Source organism: Homo sapiens, chromosome 20, assembly GCF_000001405.40.
Source record: "Homo sapiens chromosome 20, GRCh38.p14 Primary Assembly".
In the NCBI taxonomy this organism is placed as follows: Eukaryota; Metazoa; Chordata; class Mammalia; order Primates; family Hominidae; genus Homo; species Homo sapiens.
The window spans coordinates 23,438,999-23,462,691 of NC_000020.11; the positions used below are offsets into that span (position 1 = coordinate 23,438,999).

The 23,693-nt window shown below is 46.4% G+C and overlaps 2 protein-coding genes across 9 annotated transcripts, besides 4 other annotated features; one reads left to right on the forward strand and one right to left on the reverse strand.

Moving 5' to 3' along the window:
- The first annotated feature begins 671 nt into the window (after positions 1-671).
- On the forward strand, positions 672-22,211 carry CSTL1 (cystatin like 1). Of its 7 annotated transcripts, NR_170941.1 has the most exons (8): positions 672-808; positions 1,146-1,488; positions 1,779-1,901; positions 4,936-5,046; positions 16,428-16,497; positions 19,531-19,667; positions 20,069-20,374; positions 22,056-22,211. NR_170941.1 is itself a non-coding variant. In XM_047439889.1 (6 exons), exons 2-6 carry the CDS (start codon positions 1,270-1,272, stop codon positions 22,096-22,098), a joined length of 816 nt encoding a protein of 271 aa, XP_047295845.1. In that variant the 5' UTR covers positions 672-808; positions 1,146-1,269; the 3' UTR covers positions 22,099-22,211. The 7 variants fall into 7 exon arrangements, 2 of the variants coding, with proteins under 2 accessions (XP_047295845.1, NP_612140.1); NR_170940.1 differs by lacking the exon at positions 16,428-16,497 and having other exon boundaries at positions 1,854-1,901; NR_170939.1 differs by lacking the exons at positions 1,146-1,488; positions 16,428-16,497 and adding an exon at positions 14,064-14,206.
- Positions 2,926-3,025: an enhancer, noted in NCBI's record as "active region_17641". NCBI's record gives its function as "activates an Ori minimal core promoter by ATAC-STARR-seq in GM12878 lymphoblastoid cells {active_cell/tissue: GM12878}" and the evidence as "EXISTENCE:reporter gene assay evidence [ECO:0000049][PMID:35858748]".
- Positions 3,428-4,007: an enhancer, noted in NCBI's record as "H3K4me1 hESC enhancer chr20:23423063-23423642 (GRCh37/hg19 assembly coordinates)". NCBI's record gives its function as "activates a minimal SCP1, AML or CMV promoter by ChIP-STARR-seq in naive H9 embryonic stem cells {active_cell/tissue: H9 hESC(naive)}" and the evidence as "EXISTENCE:reporter gene assay evidence [ECO:0000049][PMID:30033119]".
- Positions 7,715-7,774: a silencer, noted in NCBI's record as "silent region_12731". NCBI's record gives its function as "represses an Ori minimal core promoter by ATAC-STARR-seq in GM12878 lymphoblastoid cells {active_cell/tissue: GM12878}" and the evidence as "EXISTENCE:reporter gene assay evidence [ECO:0000049][PMID:35858748]".
- Positions 7,795-7,894: a silencer, noted in NCBI's record as "silent region_12732". NCBI's record gives its function as "represses an Ori minimal core promoter by ATAC-STARR-seq in GM12878 lymphoblastoid cells {active_cell/tissue: GM12878}" and the evidence as "EXISTENCE:reporter gene assay evidence [ECO:0000049][PMID:35858748]".
- On the reverse strand, positions 11,414-13,878 carry CST11 (cystatin 11). Of its 2 annotated transcripts, NM_130794.2 has the most exons (3): positions 13,586-13,878; positions 12,818-12,922; positions 11,414-11,591 (listed from the first exon to the last, which is right to left on the reverse strand). In NM_130794.2, the coding sequence occupies exons 1-3, from the start codon at positions 13,811-13,813 to the stop codon at positions 11,508-11,510; spliced, it is 417 nt and encodes a 138-aa protein (NP_570612.1). In that variant the 5' UTR covers positions 13,814-13,878; the 3' UTR covers positions 11,414-11,507. The 2 variants fall into 2 exon arrangements, with proteins under 2 accessions (NP_570612.1, NP_543020.2); NM_080830.3 differs by lacking the exon at positions 12,818-12,922.
- Positions 22,212-23,693: the final 1,482 nt, after the last annotated feature.

Consider the following 23,693-nt stretch of genomic DNA (forward strand, 5'->3'; position numbering starts at 1 on the left):
AGCATTCTCGTATACCCTTCATTCCACTTCCCCAAATGTTAACATATTATACAATCACAGTACAACGGTGAAAACTAGAATATCAACATTCACACAATACTATTAACTAATCTGCAGATTTTATTCACATTTCATCAACTATTCCACTAATGTTTTTTTCTGGTAGGATTCCATTTAAGGTGTTTTTTTTTGTTTGTTTTTTGTTTTTTTTCTGAGACACAGTCTCGCTCTGTCACCTAGGCTGGAGTGCAGCGGCACCCTCCCGGCTCACTTCAGCCTCCACCTCCTGGGTTCAAGTGATTCTCCTGCCTCAGCCTCCCAAGTAACTGGGACTACAGGTACACACCACCACACCCAGCTAATTTTGTATTTTTAGTAGAGATGGGGTTTCACCATGTTGGCCAGGCTGGTCTCGAACTCCTGATCTCTGGTGATTCACCCACCTCAGCCTCCCAAAGTGCTGGGATTACAGGCGTGAGCCACCGCGCCCAGCCAGCAAATGTTTTTAAAATAGGGCATTCATGGGCTTTTGGGGGTAAGTGACACCTAATCTTCAGGGGTCTGCGGATAATTTCTAAATGGGGCTCACAGTTTATTCCTCCCTCATAGGGAGGCTGCAATTACCTCACAAAGCTCCACTAGGGTCACAACAAGATAGCAAAAGCCAGTGCAGGGCCTGCAGGTATAGGGGGATCCTGCAAGCAGAAATCTGTGGTGGGCGGGCGGCAGGTGAGCAAGGAGAACGTGTCTGTAAAGGAAGCACAGGGAACAGGTGGTGGCTTTGTAAGACAGTTGGAACCCAAGGAAGGTAAGAATAATGTACCACTCCTTGCTCCATATGACTGCTTCCTTATATCTCAGTTCAGATATTACCTTCTCCGTAAGGCCGCCTCCCTTCCTGTAAGTGATGCTTCTCTATCTACAACCCCAGCTCTTATTGCAGAGCACTGTAGGGGCTGTTCTGGGGCTTTTCTTCCCTGAGACATGTGAAGGCAGGGAGAGGGGCTTGCACGCCTTAGCAGGTGTTTAAAAATTTTGCTTGCCTGGATCACCAAAGAACTGAATGGGTGGTGTAAATGGGTAGAAAATGAACTGGCTGGAAACTGAGTGACAAGGTTCAGGTCTGAATCTCTGTTTAAATGCAGGCAGGCCATCCCCCAGGAAAGCCTATGTTGGTGAGGGTTATGATGGGAGAATGAGTGAACTGCAGCCTGGCACCACCACACCCTGGAAGGTGCAGTTGGGAAGAAAGTTTCTGAGGCTGTAGACATGGGGATCGGATGCTGGAGAAACCCCCTGCTGCTGCTGATTGCCCTGGTCCTGTCAGCCAAGCTGGGTCACTTCCAAAGGTGGGAGGGCTTCCAGCAGAAGCTCATGAGCAAGAAGAACATGAATTCAACACTCAACTTCTTCATTCAATCCTACAACAATGCCAGCAACGACACCTACTTATATCGAGTCCAGAGGCTAATTCGAAGTCAGATGCAGGTTTGTACCTTGCTCTCCCAAGACATCAGCAGGCCCTGTTCTTGCCAGTTCAGACATGTGAGGATTCTGGGGTAGCTCCCAAGAGAACCAAGTGGTGGTCCTCCGTGAGGTCCCAAGGGGGAAGCATCTTCACTTGTAGCAGGTACATTGTAGAGTTGTTCAGATCCCAGAATGTCCTTAGCCATGCTTCCAAAATGCTTTCCTAAGGACTGGCATGAACTCTAACTCCAATACACTTAGAGGCAAAAGTGTTCACTGAGGATTAAACTCTTTTTTTTTTTTTTTTTGAGATGGAGTTTCGCTCTTGTTGCCCACGCTGGAGTGCAATGGCATGATCTTGGCTCACTGCAACCTCCTCCTCCCAGGTTCAAGTGATTCTCCTGCCTCAGCCTCCCAAGTAGCTGAGATTACAGGTACGTACCACCACACCTGGCTAAATTTTTTGTATTTTTAGTAGAAACCGGTTTTCACCATGTTAGCCAAGCTGGTCTCGAACTCCTGACCTCAGGTGATCTGCCCACCTCGGCCTCCCAAAGTGCCGGAGTTACAGGCGTGAGATACCACGCCCGGCCAGCTCTTTTTCCTTGGGAAGAAATGCCTTTCATTCTGATATTTGACCCTGCCGGAGTGACAGCAAGGATAATTTTGCTCCCTTTAAAGTTCTCATTTGGCAAAATACAAATATTCTCTGTAGGCCTGTAGCCCCCAATATTTTTTCAATGTGTAGGGTTGTAAAATTCAAAACTGGGTGTTCTGTGTTATACAAACTTCAAATTATACAGAGGGTTTATTCTGGAAGTGGAGAGGATGTGAGAGATAGGGTTCAGCCAGATCACCTCACCTTCTGTTTTACATATAAAATTTCTCTGAAATATATCAATTGAAGGATAATAGAAGAAAGAAAAGTTGTTAGGGAACCCCTTTTATTGGTACAACATTTCCTCAAGGTCAGATAATAAACTATACAGTCCCCTTGGTGTCCATGAGGAATTGGTTCCAGGACCCCTCAGGATGCCCACATCCATGGATTCTGAAGTCTTTTATGTAAAATGGAATAGTGTTTCCACATAACCTATGCACATCTTCCCACATATGGTAAATCATTTCTAGATTAATTATAATAAGTGGTACAGTGTAAATGCTATGTAGATAATTATTATACTGTACTGTTTAGGGAATAATTACAAGAAAAAATGTTCAGTATACAGGCAACCATACATTTTTTTTTCCTGAATATTTTGATGCACGGTTGTTTGCATCCACAGATATGGAGCTCGTAAGTACAGAGGGCTGACTGTAGAAGTTGGGGCAGCAACAATGCTACGTCCTAGTTCAATTAGCTAGATTTGGGAAAACACAACTGGCTATGGGAAAGCTCTCTCGCCAGAGAGTAAGGCAGCTGGAACAGAGAGAACCGGCAAGGCGGGAGGGCAGCGTGGGGAGGACCAGTCAGCATAGGTCAAATCCTCATCCCAATGCAGACTGTCCCACAGGCTGGCTCAGTGAGGCACTTCTACCACAAGATGGCGATGTTGCCCATTTGGTTCTTGGTTCTTCCACAATTGGTTAAGACCCCAAGGAGGCTTGCCTTGTGAAATCAATCCATCACCATTAAGTTAGCTGTTAAGGAATAATGATGAGCATTTGATGTCATTCACATTGATAAGCAGACAGAGCAGGCGTGCCTCCTGGTAGCTGGGTGATCTTGGCATGGGCCTCTGGGCACCCCCACACCCATATGACCATTGTGTCTGTCCTTACACCTCACAGAGGGGACAAGAGCAGGCGTGGAGGGCTGCCAGGTGCCTCTGGGGGCTTCACGCCCAGCTCCTCCCAACTGAGGCTCCTGGTCAAGTGACATCCAGACTCTCCAGACCTCAGTTTCTTCACCTGCAAAGTGCCTCAGAATAGGAGGGAAGCACTTAGCACAGTGCCAACATCTGGTAGCACTTATAAAAAATCTTTGCTGTTATTATGACTACTCCTGTCATTATCGAACAAATAAGTCTAATAACGAATAACACTTTGCACACTGGAATGTCAGTTACAGTGATGACGGGTGGTTTAGTTTTTTCTTACATTCTGAGCATGCTGAAAGTCAGTGTGACCGTGCCTGGGGCAGCCCTGCAAATGCCCATGCATGGATGGCCCCCACATGTTTGGGTGCGGGGAGGCTGGTACTGCCCTCAGGTCTAGGCTCCCTGCTGCCCTGTCCCAGTGTTTGCTAAGGGTGTCTTCCTCCCAGGAGCAGTGTGGGCACTCTCTGCCTCAGTCACCACCCCAGAGATGACCAAGCCCTCTCACTGGGCTTGACCAGTGACAGGGCAAGGCAACAGGGAGCTTCCCAGAGCTTCTCCTGCACCGGTGAAGATCCACTAATCCACATATCTACTCAGGAATCCAGCTCAGAACCCGACAGGGAACCGTAACCCCCAAGCTCTCTGTTAGTCTCCCTTCTGGGCGTAGGGCCTCCCTGCCCACAAGGGCTTTTCCAGGCTCCAACCCCTGCAGGCTTCATGGCCTCACACTTGATCACAAGTGAAAGAGCCATGGGGAAATCCCTGGCATGCGTTCTCCATGGCTCGTGTACCCACCATGCCTCCTTCCTTCATTTCTGTACACGCTAGGAGGAAACTGGCATTATTCTCCTCATTTCCTAGATGAGGAAACTGAGATTCAGTAAAATTTACAGAGTCTGCAGGGGGTAAAGCCAGATTTTGTGTTCTGTCACTCTCCTAACACTGAATCTGCTTCAAAGTAACACTGCAGACACTTTGCTAAAAGATGTAATAACTTATAATTATGAAAATATTTAAAATTTATTTTATGCATTCAGGGAAATGCAAGCTTCCATTTAGCCCACATAACAACTCCAGAAGCAGGCACAATTGTGGTTTGTAGTTTGTAAGTGAAAAAGCTGAGGATGCTAAGTAACTTGCTCAAGGTCACAGTCACTAAATGGAAAATGCATGCCCCAAATCAATTCGATTCCAAAACTGTTTTTAACTGTATTGCTAAGCTGCCTTCCACTAGGTTGGTCAGGAAGGATAGTAGAGACAGAGGAAATGGCAGAAGGGACTGGGGGGGTGGGGACAAGATGCTGGCTCTGTTGCATTTTGAAGGCCACATCTGCCAGCCTGGGAGTGGCCTGTGGTGGCCAGGCAACCCAGCTTGATGTTGCCTCTTCTGTCCTGAGGATGGAACAGAGGCAGGTGAGAAGCTTTCTGTGGCTGCTGCAGCAAAACCAACCTATGACCAGGGGCTTTGGCTGCCATTGCCCTCCCTCCAGCCAGAAGTAAGGAGAAGGGAGCCATGCTTTTGGTGGGTAAGCTCCGCGAACAAGAACTGTGGCCCTGGGAGCTTTACTCTCAGTCCTAGCTTCTCCAGGAGAGGGTCAGCCACTGGATGCTTGGAGTCCACACTAACAGCACAACTGATTCTCGGCAGCTGACGACGGGAGTGGAGTATATAGTCACTGTGAAGATTGGCTGGACCAAATGCAAGAGGAATGACACGAGCAATTCTTCCTGCCCCCTGCAAAGCAAGAAGCTGAGAAAGGTGTGTAGTGGAAGTCATCCCAAAGGGACTTGTGAAGTGAATATTTTAAAAAGCAACAGCTAGAAGTTGGCAGTTTTGCCACTTGTGTGGATTGGGGCCAGCTGGGGCCCAGCCCTGGGGCTGTCTGGCACCTCCTGAGGCACCTGGGTGAAGGAGGGAGGCTTTATATTTGGGCTGGTACAGCCCTGCACCCAGGCCTCTGGTTGCCTGGACCCTTCTCCAACCTGGCCTGCTCCCCAGACCCTCTGCGTGAAAGCAGTGGTTCCCTTTCCTTGGGGTCCTTCTTCTGTCTTCTTTCTCCCTCTCCAGGTCTCTAAGGTTGTCCAATTTCCTCCTTGTTCCCTTCTATTTTTCCTGGTCCATGAGTGGCACCCCTTGAAAGCTGGCAGATACAAGGGGCTCCCCCATGCCTGGGGAGGTGCAGGAGGAGGTAACGATGCTATTGCTCCTTGCTGGCCTGCCTGGCCCACATGACAGGGTCCGGCCAGGCCATAGACTCCAGGTTCACCTGCTGTGGGTCCCAAGTGGCTGGGTAGGGGGAAGACAGGGTGACATTCCTGTTCCAGACTGGCACTCCTTTCTGTTTCTACCCTTGACTGTGGGCAGCTCCCCTCTCTGCCCATGGGGTTCATGAGCAGCCACAGGGAGAGACCTGGGGAACAGGTGCCTGTTGCTTGCCTTTGAAAAATACTTCCCCCAAAGTCTGTTTTCTTTCTTCTTCTACAGAGTTTAATTTGCGAGTCTTTGATATACACCATGCCCTGGATAAACTATTTCCAGCTCTGGAACAATTCCTGTCTGGAGGCCGAGCATGTGGGCAGAAACCTCAGATGAGGGCTCATATGATTGAGTTGTGCACTGGCTGTTATTAAACTGTAAAGGATCATGTCTCCCTCATTGGGGTCTTATTACACATGCACACACACACATGCACACACAGAGTGTACACGTACACACACTTGCACATACTTACCTTCACAACCCACACACACAATGCTCATACTCACGACACCCTCACACTCTCACCACTCACATACATGCACATTCACTTTAACAGCCTCACACACTCATCCACCCGCCCACCCACTCACTCCTACATGTCAAGCACATGCACACTCACTCGCACACACATTCAGTGGTCTTCAGGGGTTGGTGCAATCTTTTCTTTCTTTTCCTTTCTTTCTTTCTTTTTTTTTTTTTTTTTTGAGACACAGTCTTGCTCTGTTGCCCAGGCTGGAGAGAAGTGGCGCAATCACTGAAGCCTCCGCTAAAGTGGAGCTCACTGAAGCCTTGACTTCCCCGGGCTCAAGTGATTCTTTCACCTTAGCCTCCCAAGTAGCTGAGATTACAGGTGCACACCGCTTTGTCCAGCTAATTTTTTAAAACACTTTTTTTGTGGAGACAATATCTCCCTTTCTTGCCTAGGCTGGTCATGGACTCCTGGGCTCAAGTAATCCTCCTGCCTCAGTCTCCCAAAGTGTTGGGATTATAGGCGTGAGCTACCGCACCCACCCAGCTGATGCAATTAGAACAGAATGTTCATAATCATTGGGGAAACCTCATCATTCTTTCTACGCCACCCCACATCTCTATGGCTTTTCTGAATTTAGCATGTCCCTGAGCTCTGACCCTAGTGTGGGGAGCCCTATTTCTTCCCAGCACACACACAACACTGTGACTCACACACATTTTTGTGAGTGTGTCTGAGATTCCCAATACCAAATTCACATTGAGTGACTCACTAGAGGACTCACAGGACTTAGCCTAGAGTCATTCTCATGGCTGTGATATGACAGCAATGGGACACAGGGCAAAACCAGCAAAGGCAAAAGGTGCATGGCGCTAGGTCAGGAGAAAACCAGCCAGGAGCTTCCAGAGTTCTCTCTCGGTGCCGTCACACAGAGCACGCTCAATTCCCCCAGAAGTGAGCTGTGGCAGTATGTGTCACAAGGAAGCTCCTTAAGACCCAGCAGCCAGGGTTTTTACCGGGGACTGGTCATGAAGGTAGTCTCTGCCTGGCACGTGCCAAAATTCCAGACTCCCAGAGGATAGCAGGGGTTCAATGTCAACCTCACTGCTGTACAGAGAATGTAAACACACTGAGGCCCTCTTCTCATGCAGGAAAAGTTTTCTATCAGTGTAGGGAACTGTTGACCCTCCAAGTTCTCAAACTCCATCCAAGGCCAGCCTTGCAAGCAGCCTTTCTTTCTTTTTTTTTTTTCTTTTTTTTGAGACGAAGTCTCGCTCTGTCGCCAGGCTGGAGTGCCGTGGCACGATCTTGGCTCACTGCAGTCTCCGCCTCCCAGGTTCAACCAATTCTTCTGCCTCAGCCTCCCTAGTAGCTGGGACTACAGGCGTGCACTGCCACGCCCAGCTAATTTTTTTGTATTTTTAGTAGAGACAGGGTTTCACCATGTTGGCCAGGATAGTCTTGATCTCCTGACCTGGTGATCCACCCGCCTCCGCCTCCCAAAGTGCTGGGATGACAAGCGTGAGCCACTGCGCCCAGCCTGCAAGCAGCCTTTCTAAGGACAGCAGTTCAGGCGGGCCGTGCGAACTCATTTCTGCACACTGAGTCATTGAGCCTCCCATGTTCTGATGGCTGCTTAAATAAGACCTGTGTTTTCTCCTCTTCTCTGGCTGACAGTCGATTAGAGAAGGTGCATGTTAGACCAGAAATGGTCTAATAGCCACAGACAATGGCTGACAGTGTGCCTATTGTACCACTTGACCATTCAGCCTCTTCCCAGGCACCAGCGCCACCAGCTGGTCATAATGGCAACTTGAGGGAGTATTGCTAAAGGGGAAGAATAAACATAGAGCAAGAACCTCAAACTTGACAGCAAGGCCTGAGGGAGAAGAGAGGATGGAGGAAGAGAGTTAAAGGAGGTGGAATTCCTGCGCAAAAAACCCCACAAAAACAACCTCCCCACAAACGTCACAAAAACAAAAAGGCCAGAAAGCACCCAGTCCTGCAAATCTAAGCTAATTGAGGGCTGACTGGGTGACCAGCACTGGCCTGCTGCCCACATTATCCTATTTGATCATCATGACCACCCTACGAAATGGCAACTTTTTCTCCACTTTATAGATGAAGAGCCTCCAAAGGCAGCCTCTGTCCAGATTCTAACATCCTAACTTAACACAGCTTGTTGGTTGCATTTTTAGAAATGGAGTCATACAATATATATTCTTTTGTTTCTGGCTTCTTGAATTCAATACATCCGTGTGGTCGTGTGTAGTTATAGTTCACTTTCTTTATTGTATAGAATTGCTTTGTGTAAATATACCACAATTTATCTATTGTACTGATAATGTACTTTTGGGTCGTTTTCAGCTTCTAAGAACAATAGCTATTAACAAGCGTGAGTGTGCCTGTCTAATGCTGGACACATTACATGTACTTCTTTTCTTTTCTTTTTCTTTTTTTTTTTTTTTTGTGAGACAGAGTTCCACTCTTGTTGCCCAGGCCGCAGTGCAGTGGCACGATCTTGGCTCTGCCTCCCAGGTTCAAGTGATTCTCCTGCCTCAGCCTCCCAAGTAGCTGGGATTACAGGTGCCTGCCACCATGCCCAGCTAAATGTTTTTGTATTTTTAGTAGAGATGGGGTTTCACCATGTTGGCCAGGCTGGTCTCAAACACCTGACCTCAGGCGATCCACCCGCCTCGGCCTCCCAAAGTGCTGGGATTACAGGCATGAGCCACCGTGCCTGGCCACATACATGTGTTTCTATTGGATATATGCCTAAGAGTTAGTTGGTAATAGGATGTGCTTATGTTTAGCCTTTAGCTATTTTTTGCTCAAGACTTTTAAACATTGTTTGTTTTTTACCTAATTTGTTTTTCTAATGTTACTTACTTATCGATTTAAATCTTGTTCAACCTCTAAGTTCTTACTTTTTGAACATCTTTTATTTATATGGTCTAATTGTACTATTTCTATCTTTTTTTTGCTTTCCAACTTTAGAGTCATCTCTTATTATTATTATTGTTATTATTATTTTATTTCAATGGGTTTTTGGGAACAGGTGCTGTTTGGTTACATAGATAACATCTTCTGTGGTGATTTCTGAGATTTTGGCACACCTCTCACCTGAGCAGTGCACACTCTACCCAATGTGTATTTCTATCTCTTTAAACACAATTTCATATTGACACTCTATTCTTTTTATAATGTTTTACCAAACTTTATGGCATTACTTTGAATTTTTTAAAGTGAACTCTCCCACCCCACCCGCTCACCTTGCTTTCATAACTAGCAAACAGGAATGGTGGGCCTGAGCCAGCATTGAGACAGGAGTGGGCACCCAGGCCCTGGCTGAGTACAGGGAGGCAGCACAGCAGAGCTCTCCGGCGATGGAGCAGTGCTGTGTCTTGAGCATGGTGCTGGTTACACGAATGTACACGTGTGACTAAATGGCACACACACAGTACCAATGTTGGCTTCCTAATTGTGATATTTTTCTGTGATGTGATAAGATGTAACCATTAGGGGAAACTAGAGGAAGGACACAGAGGACTTCTCTCTACTACCTTTGTAACTTCCTGGAAATATATACTAATTTTTTAAAAAACTTCAAAGAAAGCCCCCACAACGTTGGCTGAGAAATCCAAGAGATTAATGGGCATAAATGTTCCACCTTCTCTTTTTAATCTCCCCAAAAATAGTAATGCCTGCCTTGGGGACACCATAGCAAAAAATGTCAGAAAAGTGTTGACTGTTGACTGGTATTAAATTACTACCACTGCCACTGCCAGCATTCTTCCTAATGGTTAATATTTATTTGAATGCCTGCTTCGTGTTAGGCACTGTGTTAAGCAATTTATATGCATTATCATCATCAATCTTTACAACTGCCTCAAGGAGTAGGTACTGTTATTCTCAGTTAAAGATGAAGACATTGTAGGTTAGCATCATCCCAGGCAGTTGGCGGAGGGAAACCCCACCTGGGCCCCGCTGAAACAGGGTTCTGGGCATTCCAGCACTTCAACAGGGAGAGTAAAAGCCAAAAATAAATTATTTGTTCTTTCAAAGCCAATCCCATCTTGGTGAGAACTGGTGTTGCTGACGTGCATCTCAGCTCACAGTTCACACATGCAGGAGCTCTCCTGTTGGTGCTCTGCCTATAGTCTCTCAAATCTCACACTTTCTGTGCATGCCAGCTTGACTTCCCTGTGCCCTTTTATTTGTGCACCGTCTCTGCCGCTTACTCTGCCCTGGAGCTGCCTCAGGCCAGAGGTACTAGGGAATTCATGCCCCCTAAGAGCCAATACTGATGGGAACTGAACTGTTGGATAAATACCCCAACTCCCTCTCCCCGCAGGGAAATGAATGCTGTAATGCCGTGTGTATGTGTGTGTGTGTATGTGTGTGTGTATATGTGTGTGTGTTTGCTATGGTGTCCCTAGACCTCACCTGTTGTATTAAACCCAAGGCTTTTGCTTGAGCTCTTGGGAACAAGATCTTCCTCCCTTTCTTACTGGATGTGAAGGAGGACACACCTAACCCATTGAGCTGCTGGCAGCCTCCCTGCAACCACATGGAGGAGGAAGTGGAGTGGGGTAAGCCCGGTGACATCATCTGAGACCTTGAATCAGGCTGCGGAGTTGGGGGATGCTTCCTCCCGTGGCTGCTGTGCCTTCTGTGGAAAGAAAGCCCCTTGAACAGAGGACTCCTGGCTTCTCCCTGTCCTCAGGACTTCCTCTCCTGCTGGGATTAATCTGACTGGTCTGTTTGGGAAGAATGAACTGGGCATTGTCACCAGGTCTGCCTCCTTCACGGGGGGCACATATGTCCCTTTGCTCCTCTAGGAGAGGAATTTATTTATAGACAGACCTGGTTTGGTCCAGTGTTGCTCGTGCAAGGGGGCAGAAGTCTAATTCTGGAGTTTGCAATTAGAAAGTGCACTTGCTTGCAAAAATAAGGCACATCTCTCAACCTGGTTATCATATCAGTAGCAAAGGCCTTGTCTTTCTTAGTTCTTTGGTGATTTCTTCTTATTTCACACTTTAGGTAAGGAGAGAGGGTGATCTTCATTGGGCCCCTCAGACGTGCCATCACAGGCCATACTTGCAAATGTCTCTTGGCTGTTCAGTTGCTTTGAGCTTCTTCCCTCTCCTTATTCTGCTTCTCAGTTTCTCCATACTATTTTAAAATCTAAAGAATCTTAAAATCTTGCCTGATATGAGAATGAAATTGAAGTTCTGCTACCATGAAGGCATAGGTGATAAGGTCAGGAATAATGTAGGTCACCTCATTTGGACCCCCAAACTGCCCTGGCCCAGCAGACTTTCAGATTATTACTATGAGCTGAAGAATTTGGATAAAAAGAAAAAGAAAAAAAGTGGAATCACGATCTTAAGAGAATATGTTGACAAACATTTATTGCCTATATTAAGGATTATTGCCCATTGCAGGATTCTCTCACATGCAGTGGCCGCAGTTGTACACTCCAGGACACCTAGTCACTGCTGCAGCTTTTGTTCAAAATTTTGTACTGTTCAAACCAGGGTACAGCAAACACTGAGAAGAAGCAGTTGACTTGCTAAAACAAAAAACAAAGGCAATATTTTAAAAGACGCCAGGTGAAATTTAAAAGGAGAAGGAAGAGGATGTAAGACACGAAGATGGAGAAAAGGCTACCACCTCTCCACCCCTACAATCCTATTTGACCACAAACAGAAGGACATTTTCTGGAATGATCCCAGCAATGTTACTATCAAGCGGCTGAAATCAAAATAAATATCAAACAAGATATTTAGAAATAAAGTGTCTGCGCAGCCCATATTCACCATGGGTACTGCTGATTCTTTTTTCCCTCTTCATTTTTACTCATTTTTTTAAACTTCACTTCTTCCCTTATTTGTCCTCTCTTGGCTCCATTTATTCATCCACCCATTCTTCCAACCATCTATTTATCCCTCCATTCATCTACCCATATGTCCATCCATCCATTTGTCCATCCATTTATCCTTCAGTCCATCCCCCATCCATCCATTTACCCATCTGTCGACCCATCAACCCATTCATCCATCCTTCCATTCATCCCTCATCCATCTCCATTCATTCTTCCATTTATCCCTCCTTCCATCCACCCATCCATCTTTACTTCCTGACTTTGCTTCCTCTCCCTCAGTGCATGCAGCCTTGCTTCATTTCTTCATCCATCTGTCCATTGCACCATCTCCCACAGATGGGCCAGTGCCAGGTGGGATGAAGGCCTGTTGGAGCTGGAGCTGCCTTCGGGGGTGGTGGCTTCCCAGCAGAGCACACGCATGCAAGTTTGTGCCCCTCATCCACCCTCACCCACCAGTCAAATCATTTCTGAACTTGTTTCCTCACCTCCTCCTCCCCCTGGATGAACATGGCTGGATGAAATGAGAGAGGACAGGAGCCCAGCACTTGCGCGGCCTTGTCATGTTGACTCTGAGGTATTCAGTCAGCGCACCTGACAGGTCCCTCCCACAGGCTGCTTAAATATTAGGAATTGTCTGCTTCCCTCGCCCCAGAGTGTGCCCCTGCAGCTCGGCCACCTCAACTCCTCTCTCTGGACATGTTCAGCCTCCTCACACTCCTTCCAGCAACAAAGGAGCAGCATCTCGGCTGTCTCCACCTTTGCTTTCCCTCTCTGAGGAAGGAGGTGTTACCCATGCATTCTTTTCAAGCCAGCTTGAGTAAATTCCAATTAATTCTTCCCAACTCATTCTAAAGCCACAGAAAAACCTCACTGAAAAGGACTTCTGTCTACGTTAAAGTGCTTTTACCCAATACCTTGTGAAGCTCCCTTTCCTGGGGGACACAGTTCGTGGTCTCTGGCTTTTGGCAGGTGGTCCACTGCATTTCCACATTCAGGTGATACTCCAGGTGGTCAGTGACCTGTGGGCGCCAGGCGTGGGGGAGGCACAGCTTGTCCCCTTCTCCCCTGTCTGCGGTTTCTGTGCCTGGGGGCTCCGCTACCCCACGTCCAAGGGCAAGGAGCTGGTCCTAGGCGGATTAGCGGGCTCCTCTCTCCTCTATTTGACTCATGATTGTTTTTGTCATTCCAAGAGAATTAACCAGAAACCATCAGAAACATGAACTTTCCCCCTGGGCAAATCTATCCCTTGGGTAATGCAAGTGACGCTAGTGATTCTGGATAGGGGTCTGTAAACTTTTTCCGTAAAGGGCTACATAGTAAACATCTTACGTTTTATTGGCCATGTGGTCTCTGTAACTACTCAGTTCGGCATGAGTGTGGCAGCAGCAAGCAGTGGCAGACAAAGCACAGGCATGCTCATGGCTAGGTCACAAGAACACGACTTACAAAAGTGGGCGGCAGGCAGTTTTGGCCCTTGGGATGTAATGTGCTGAGGATCCCTGGTCCTGGGTTTTGTTTAAGTGCCTTAATTTCATCACCCTAGTGAATTTATGCTTCTCTTAAAGTGCTCACATCAAGCTAAGCAAGGTTGAATTTCCCTTGAGTGGGACTATTCCTGACACCAGTGGCCACCCGATGTGGGCGTATCAGGCCTGGGGAGAGGCGGGAAGTCATACACTCACCTGCCTCTGGACTTTAAGGACTCGGAAGATCCTGAAGTGGTACTTGTCATCACTTTCCTTGTTATACTGGTCGGTGATCCACTGCAAGCTGTCCTTCGCATAGTTTTCTACTGCCATCACTTCATGGACGCTTAGAAAGGTTTTCTTCCTTGCTTGGTAGGGGAGGGCCATCAGAGTCAATAGAATGGCCAACAGGAGCTGTAGGGCCTGCCAGGGCTCAGCCATCATCCTTCAGCTGCAGAGGAACAGGAAGAGTGTTCTCTGTACTCCTCAGGGACAAGTCGAATCACACTGACCCTACCTGCCCTGGCAGGATTTAAGAGCAGCTGGTGGTGGACACCCACAGCTCTCCTCTCCTCCTCCTCCCCCTTCATCAGCAGCTGAACTCGAGGGGAGAGCAGCAAGAGACTGTGCAATGGTTTTTGCATAAGTTCATGCCACACACACACAGGATAACACACACATTTTCTCTTTTGAGGGGCTGCTCCCTCAGCAACACACAGGCTTCTGTGGACCCAGCATTGTCTTGGTGGGAGCCAGGCGAGGGCCCCTGGGAGTCCTGGAGGATGGTAGCTGCTGGAGACACGGGGAGATTGGATGCCAGGACTGGCGCATTCATAGGTGAGCAGTGGGGGGTGGGCACTGTGGGGAGGGGCCGCCTGCACCGGAAGCCACTCTCCCCCAGCCTGGTTCCTGGAGACGAGTTCTGGAAAATCCCCTCCCTTAGAGGACAAAGGAGCAGAGGCACCCTACAGAAAGGTGTGAAGGGAGGGAGAGTCAACTCTGACACCGACGATTCCCCAGTACCGACAAGTCCTAGAGTGGCCTCCGCTGGACTTGCATGTTTTGGAGGAGGAGGCAGTGGCGAGGAAGCTTCAGGTGTGAGACACAGGGAGCTTTCTGGTTGGACATTCTGGTCTCCTAAAGGTCCCATCCTGGGGACCTGATGGGAGTCCCCAGACTTGGCTGCCAGTTAGAGAAGGAAGAAGCCACTGGTGGGTGGAGGCTGGAGCTTGTGTCCCACGGCACACAGAATGCAGGCTTAGTGCGGTTATGTTCGATTCCTAGAAGGCCTGTTATGGTGTCTTTTGGGAAGATGCGATATAAAAATGTGCAGTGATGGCTCCTGTGTGGGAACCCGGGGAGGAGCCCTGGGCACACCCAACGCCTGTTTCGAGGCTTCCTCATGTGCCTCCAGGGGATGCCAGGAACCAGGAAGCCAGGGCCTCTTTCCTGACACCCCTGCTCAGCCTTCCCTCACAGACACACTTGCTGCATAGCCACATTCACACCCGAACACACGGACACACAACACATACACATACCTACACACACAGTCACACTCACACTGAAACACAGACACACAACACACAGAGACACATACCTATCCACACTCACACTGAAATATACAGACACACACACCTACATGTATACATCCACATTCACAGTGAAAAACACAGATGCACAACACACACACATACCGCCACACATGCACACATACACACTGAAACACACACACAACACACAGAGACACACGCACCTACATGTACACAACCACACTCACACTGAAACACACATACTACACACACATCTACACATACACAATGACACTCACACTGAAACATATAGACACACAACACACACCTACACGTACATGCCCACACTCACATTGAAACACACAGACACACAACACACAGATACACACACCTACATTACACACCCACACTCACACTGAAACACACAGACACACAACATACACACACACCTACATGTACACACCCACACTCACACTGAAACACACACACAACACACATAGACACACCCCCCCACGCATACATACCCACACTCACGCTAAAACACACAGACACAGTACACACACAGACATACATACCTGCACACACACACACTCCCAAAACTCATGGACCTCAGGGTTCACTCCTTGGAGTACAGTGGAGCGCACATCCTCCATGCCCTCTTGATGGAGGGTTTGGCATCACCACAGAGCGAACACTGTGGAAGGGCTCTGTCTCCACCTCCTGTCTGTGCTTCCAGGACGGCCTCAATTTGTCTGGTGGCACAAAGGCAAAGCAGAAAAAGGTGAGAAGCTGGGCATCAGTTGGGCCTAGTGTGAGGTCTGCTTGGCCTCTGCCCTGAGCTCCCTGAGCGGCTGTAAGTGGGATATCAATGCTCTTTTCATTGGGTTACTCTTACATTATAATTAAGAGCCTATGGGCAGAGACTGCTCATTTTATTTTCCTCAGTAACAGAGCTGCATTTTTGTTTGAGTATGGGACTGCCTGCAATAAAGACTGCATTTCCCAGCCTTCCTTGCAGTGGGGGTAGTCTCATGACCAAGATCTAAGTGAAATTGTTGTTTGAGACATAGAGGAATTTACTCTGTAAATTGCTGACTCAGTTACAAAGAGTCATTTTTGCCTTATCTGCCATTGGGAATGAGGACATGATGGCTGGAGCTCCAGCAGCTCTATTGGAACATGAAGTAATCTGGAGAACAGAAGCCAGCTCTGAGGATGGGAGAGAAAAAGACGAAAGGATTGTGGTGCCTTGTGCCCTTGCCACTTTTTGGAGTGCCAGCCCTATATTGCCATCCCAACTCTTGTATAGTAAAGTTTATTTTCTTGTTTATATAAATAAGAGTTTATTTTCAACTCTTGTGTGCTTAAACCACCATAGTTTTGGTCTCTAATTCTCATGGCTGGCCACATACTACTACTAATTGAAACAGAATCTGACTCATAGTAAGTGCTTAATATGTAGTGGGATTATTGTGCAATTGTCTGAACAGTATTTATGAAATTTTGTTTTTTATTGTCTGATTTAGGTTGTTCATGGAATAGACATATTTACTACATGTCTCCGGCAGAATTGCTGTAACACTAGGAATAGTATATGTAAGCATCTAGCACGTGGTGGGGCAGGGTGGTGGGGCTCACAAAGAATCCCTCCTGTCAATGTCTGTGGGGTCTGACTGTGGATCCCCTCCCATGTGTGCTTTGCAGCTGTGCAGAACTGGCAATGTTCATCTCCGACCTCAGTGGGCAGCCCATGGGCCTTCACTTGTGTCAGTGCAAACATGCCTTGCCAGTTCCCTCAGGCCCCAGGTAGCAAGGCAAGAGGGCGGCACCAAAGAAGCCGGGCCAGGAGGCGCAGGTGGTCGATCTTCCACAGGGTTGCACTGGCAGCATTACCTCTTGGTTGATCTCGTCAGTGGCCCGTGGGTTCTCTTCCTGTCGCCCACTTGCCCTCCTGGCCCTGCATGGGGAGGTGAGCAGTGTGAAGAACACCACATCCTCCAGCCCTCTTGATCTTGTCTTTTTTCCCCTCTGCTTTTTCTTCTTGTTATTCCCTCCCCACTCCCCTGCAGGCTGGAATACAAACTCTTCTCCAAGCCCAAATCTTGACCTCTTCCTCTATGTTCATAATTCTTTACCTCAGCAGATACAAGAATCCCCTTTGAGAAGCTGATGGAAGCTGTGGCCCACTCCCCTGAAAACAGAGAATGTGCCCCTTATGGGGAACAGGCTTCACTTGCAAGTGTCATCATGGTGTGGCTTTGTCCTCACTTCCTACTGTTCCTTTGCATGGACTCAGCCATGCTATTTGTCCTCTGTGACTTTTCAAGTGACTCCCAGGCAATATACACAGTCTCAATCCAGTTATTGAAATGCTAGTTTTTGGAGATGGTCAAAACTTTGAACGTGCTTTAAAGTTGCGCTTCTCCCTCCTGGAGGCTTGCATTTGGGGAGGAGTGCTTGCTTCTTTCTCTTTTTCCCTATGCACACCACATCTCCTCTGCCTCTTCCATCTCACCAGCCATGGTTTTTAGGGCCCCTCTGTGTCAGAACGAGCAGAGAAGGAAGATGTAGAGGACTGGAAAATTCCTACTTGGCTGCAGCTGCTGTGCTCCCAAGCCTTGGCAGAATTTTAAAACTGGCTGTTCTGGGGTCCCTTCCTGCCTCTGCCCAGCCTCCATCGCTAGCAGCCCCTCCCCTGCAGCTCCCCTGGCAGCTGTGCTCATTTCCTGTGGCTGCTGTAACTAGTTACTAACAACAGTGGTTTAAAGCAACACCCTTTTATTATCTTGCAATTTTGGAGGTTACCAGCCCTACAATCAAGGTACTGGCAGGGTCGCATTCCCTCTGGATGGCCTAAGGGAGAACCTATTTTTTTCAGCTGCCAGCATTGCTTGGCTTCTGGCCCCTTCCTGCATCATCAAAGCCAGCATGGAGTCTCTTCAGTCTCTCTACTCTCTGGCCTCTGGTTCTCCCCAGCATGTCTCCTTCTCTGACTCTCCATCTCCCTCTTCTAAGGACGTGATTAATTACATGGGGCCCCTTCAGATAATCTCACCATCCTAAGATCCTTAACTTAATCACATCTGCAAAGTCACTTTTGCCCACAAGGTAACAAGTTCACAGGTTCTGGGGTTAGGATGCGGACATCTCGGGTGGGGTGTTATTCTGCCTGTCATGGCAGCACAGAGGCTCTCCCTTCCGGCTGCCGGTTGCTCTTGTCTCGGCCAGGACTGCTCTGGTTCTTTTGGCTGAGGTATGTGGAGCCCTGTTGACATCCCTACCACCTCAGTTCCTTCTCTGCTCTGGACCATCTCAACCCAGCCGCTTCTTGGCTGCCTGGCCAGAAAAGCAGGAAGTCAGTCACCACTAGCTTGGGCGAGGGTCAGGTAGATCACCTCCCTCAGAACTTCCTCTGTTCCCGACTCCTGGACATTTCATTTTCTCAACATGGGTGAGCAATTCAGGTGGCTTCTGTATCCGCTATGAAAAATTTTACGTTCTTCTCTGGCACCTGATTTTGAAACTTGTCCTAATAAAAAATTCCATTTAACATTCAGTAACATTTACATAAAATGTTGCATATGACTTTAGGGAGGTTACAGGCCGCTGAATCCAATCCCTTGGCATGGGATAATATGTATGTATGTATATATATGTGTGTATATATATATATATAAATTTTTTTAAAGGCTAGTCAAGTGAAGCAGTGGGGGTGGAGAAAGAACAAAGGAATCTGTAACTGTTTGTGATCAATAAGTTGTAAATACCATTGTACTTGCACCAGCCTTGATGCTATTTTAAGAACCCCTCTTCTACAGTCTCAGTTACTAACAATTTGGTCACATTCAATGCTCCCGTAGAGGTGACTCCCATATAGTTAACTTCATTCCAAGTTCCCTTTTTGAAGTGTGATTTTATATTGCTACCTGTTTGCTGCAAATTCCTTTGAAAGTCCCACTGTAAACTGAATCTCCTCCAGCCAAAGAAAGGCTCATTGTCTTGACTTCCTTCCATCGCCTCTCTGGGGTACCCTATTTTGTCTCTTGGGAGGCCCAGAGTCAGCCACCAAGTCCCACAAGTCCTCCAGTCATGTCTCAGTTCCACACTCCATCCCCTATGGCTTCTTCTGGGTAACATGGATCTATGGGTCCATGGATTAATTGCTAGGAGACATCCATCCACAGATGCAATATTGTAGCATGTTTATATTCCAAAAAAAAATCTTTCTGACTTTCCACATCCTACCAAGAGTTGGTTAAGATGCTAAAATTAAAAATAGAATGGACTGCCACTTCCAGCTGTCAGAAAGACTTCCTCTCAACCTGGTATAGAACACTCAGACTGCAGTTTGTATATATTTGCCCAAAGTTCCTGCAGCCACAGGCATGGAGTTGCTCTGCTGGAAGATGCTATCTGGCCACCAAACTGTCATCTCACATAGATGAACATGCTGAGGAATGTGCCAGTTTCTAAAATTTTCCATGCACTCTTAAACTCCAGTGGCTTTGTAAGTTTTCAGATTGCAATCAATGAATGTTCCTGCCCTGCTAAATCTTCTTCATTATTCCCCGTAGCTCAGGTGGATGTGTCTCCTTGCATGCTGATTCTCGCTTGCTGTTGTTTCCTCAGCTTTCATGTCTCATGAAAACTGTTCTCCTGGCCAAATTGAACGAATGCAGCTCTCTGGACTCAGAGAGGATTGAATGGGCAATTAATCAGGAGGGTGCCAGTCTCCCAGGAGAACCAGCAAATATCACTGAATTACGGTGAGGATGAGAAAGGCACATTTATCAGTACTGTTCCCGGGAAGGAAGGCCCCTGAACCATTGGAGGTGGACCCAGTTTCCTTTGGGACTTTGGTTAAGATGGGTTTTGTTTTGTGGGTCTGGGGCCAGAGGAGTTGGAATTGCTGGGCCTCAGAGGAGAGGCCGAGCTCTTAGCCAGAGACTCCTTTTCCTCACCTTCCCTAGACCATTTGGCCTCTTCTCTCCATTAAAGAGGGGCCAACATTTAAGAGATGTAGGTTTATAGGAGTCTAAGATCATGAGCTTCCTGGGGCAGCCAAATTCCCTCCTTCAAAGTCTCCAGCATACGTGCTGTAGCTCTGTCTTGGTAGGGGATTCCCCTCTGCTGAGCACTCTTGTCCTTCTCTTCCTTTTGTTAACAGCTGCTCATATTCCTGGACTCTGCTGAAGAACAATCTCCTCCAGGAAGCGCCTTCTGATTGCCTGGCCCACCTTCTGCCCAGGCTAACACGGATGCCACTGCTATCTGGCCACACTTCTATCAAAACATGCAAGCTGTTCTCCTTCCACTGCTCTTCAGCTCTGCCTCTGGAACCTCACTTTGAATCCCTTGGGACAACAAAGTCAGACTGGCTGGACTCACATCTGGCTCCACCATTGACCAGCTGGGTGGCTGTGGGCAAATTACTTACATTCAACGTGCCTCAGTCTTCTCACCTGCAAAATGGGTATAAAATAGTTCTCATTCATGCTAATGAAATGAGATAATCCAGGCAAAGAGCTTATAATGGTTTTTAAAAAAATGTTCAATTATTATTGTTGTTGTTATTATCATTTGTTATTTTCTGTATTTCTGACAAGTAGTGCAGTTCCTGATGTTGAATGAACCACTGACAATGTTCACACACACACACACACACATGCACGCACTTGCCCAAATGTTAAACTTTGGTTCTCTCCTCTGACTCATTCTTTGTACCCAGTCATATGGTCCCATTGGGTCATTCTTCAGAACACCTGTCAAAAACCACTGGCATGGCGCAGGATTTAGTTTTATTCACAACTGTATCTCCAGGGCCTGACACAAAGTCATTGCTCAAAAACATGTTGGATGAGTGAAGGCATGAACACATGGATGATTGAATGAATAAAATCCTTTTCCCTGTAGACTGCATTTCCACAGCTGCCTTCCAGCCCACTCTTCACTGACTCCATCCAGACTCCTGTAATATCCTGACCATTCCTGCACTGTTCACTCTGGCCTCTCCCTGCACAATACAGCTAGTTTTATACCACTGCTGTGAGGTCTTCAACTGGTTCCCAGTGGTTTAGCAAATAAGGAACAAACTCACAAGACAACTAAGTGTTTATAGCATCACTTCTGTTTATACTTCCCCAGCTTGTACTTCTGCCAACATTAGATGAGAATGCCTTTTCCACAAACCCTGCTGGCCTCCCCAAGTCCTTTATAAGCACCTAAAATGCATTTATACCGTTCTGGGAACAAATATAATGGGATCCTGCTTCACAGCTCAGAAGGCAAATGGTGACTGCCTAACAGCTGAGCTTCCCAAATGCCCTCACCAACAGGAAGTCCGGCTCCCTCTCCACATTCAACCAGGGTTCTCTTGTAAGCCTCAGTAGAATCCAGAGGGTCATGGGGTGGCTGTCCTGGCTGCCAGATGAGCATTCAGAAGTATCCTTTGTATTTGTTGATCCCATCTGGAATTTGTGTTGGTGGAAGGAATGCCTTGGGGATTGAACTATGTATTTATTTATCTATTTATTTTGCAGTTGGCTATCTAGTTTTACCCACCCCATTTGTTGAATAGTTATCTTTCACTTTTTAATTCATAAATTTTGTAATCATGGGGATGTCAATTGAGGAAAATGGCGAGACAAGTCTCAATCATTTTTGGAGATTTATTTGCCAAAGTTAAGGACGCACCTGGGAGACAGGTGCCTTTCTCTGAAGATGATTTTGGGGGTTCAAAATTTAAAGGGAAAAGTGTGGGATATTGAGAAGCCCGCAGTTTTCACATAAACAAAAGGCACACAAAAAATGTCGGGAATCCTCATTTTACTTAAGATAACACAGACAAAATGGGTTAGGGAAACAGTCAGATACACCCTGTGAAAGGAAATTAAATTTTGGGGCCCCAAGCTCATTTAGCCAAAGGGAAAAGTCAAGCTGGGAACTGGGTCATGCAAACCTGCCTCCACCTTTTGGTTCCTAAGTAAGAAGACTACAAGATGAAAAGCTACTCGCCTCCCCCATATTCTGCCCACAAGGAAATTCCTGGTGAGATGTTAAAACTTCACCGTGGCAATGCAAATTGATAGTTTGTCTTTAAAGGTGCAGTCACCCTGGCCAGCCAGACATAAACTTTATTGTTGTCTTATTTTCAGAAATTGCCACAGCCAACCCAACCTTCAGCAACCACCAGTCTGATCAGTCAGCAACCATCAACATCAAGGCAAGACCCTCCATCAGCAAAAGGATTATGACTCACTGAAGGCACAGATTGTTAGCATTTTTAGCAGTAAATCATTTTTAATTAAGGTATATATATTGTTTTTTATACATGATTCCACACTTAATAGACTATGATATAGCATAAACACAACTTTTATATGCACTGGGAAACCCCCCAAAAAATGTGTGACTCACTTTATTGCAATATTCACTTTATTGTGGTGCTCTAAAATGAAACCCCCAATGTCTCTGAGGTATGCCTATGTAAGAAATTGCAAAACATGCCTATAGTGATTACACCATTTTGCATTCTGACTGGCAGTGAATGAGAGAACCAGTTTTTATCTTCATCCTCACCAGCATTTGTTGTTATCACTATTTTTTATTTTAGCTGTGTGGTATCTCATCATGGTTTTAATCAGCATTTGTCCAAGGACTGATGACATGGAGCCTATTCGCTAATAACTAATGATCTTTTTATAAGTGTATTTACTATGTGTTTATCTTTGGTAAAGTATTCATGTCTTTTGTCCATTTATTAATTGGTGTGTTTGTTTTTTTACTATTGAGTTTTTGAGGTTATTTATTTTTTCTGGTTACAATTTTTTAGGTATGTGATTTGAAAATATCCTATTTCAGTCTGTAGCTTGTCTTTTCATTTAACAGTGTCTGTGTTAGAGTAAAACTTTAAATTTTCATGAAGTTCAATTTATCTTCTTTTTTCAAGGGGTACATGCACAGGTTTGTTTTGTAGGTCAACTTATGTCATGAGGGTTTGTTGTAAAGATTATTTCATTGCCCAGGTATTAAATCTAGTACCCATTAGTTAGTTTTGCCTGATCCTCTTTTTCCTCCTACCCTCTGCCTTCCAATAGGCCCCAGTGTGGTTTGTTTCCCTCTATGTGTTCATGTGTTCTCATCATTTAGCTCCCACTTATAAGTGAGAACATGTGGTATTTGGTTTTCTGTTTCTGCATTAGTTTGCTGAGAATAATGGCCTGCAGTTTCATCCATGTCCCTGCAAAGGATATGATCTTATTCTTTTTTTATGGCTGCATAGTATTGCATGGTGTATGTGTACTACATTTTCTTTAGTCTATCATTGAGAGACATTTAGATGGATTCCATGTCTTTGCTATTGTGACTAGTGCTGCAATGCACATATGCATGCATGTGTCTTTATAACAGAACAAGTTATATTCCTTTGGGTATATACCCAGTAATGGGATTGCTAGGTCAAATGGTATTTCTGTCTTTGAGACTTTGAGGAATCACCACACTGTCTTCCACAATGGTTGAACTAATTTACATTTCCACTAACAGTGTATAAGCCTTCTTTTTTTCGCCATAACCTTGCCAGCATCTGTTTTTTAAAAATTTTTAATAGTAGCCATTCTGATTGGTGTGAGATGATATCTCATTGTGGTTTTAATTTGCATTTCTCTAATGATAAGTGATGTTGACCTTTTTTCAAATGCTTGTTGGCCGCATGTATGTCTTCTTTTGAAAACTGTCTGTTCATGTCCTTTGCCCACTTTTTAATGGGGTTGTTTGTTTTTTTCTTGTAAATT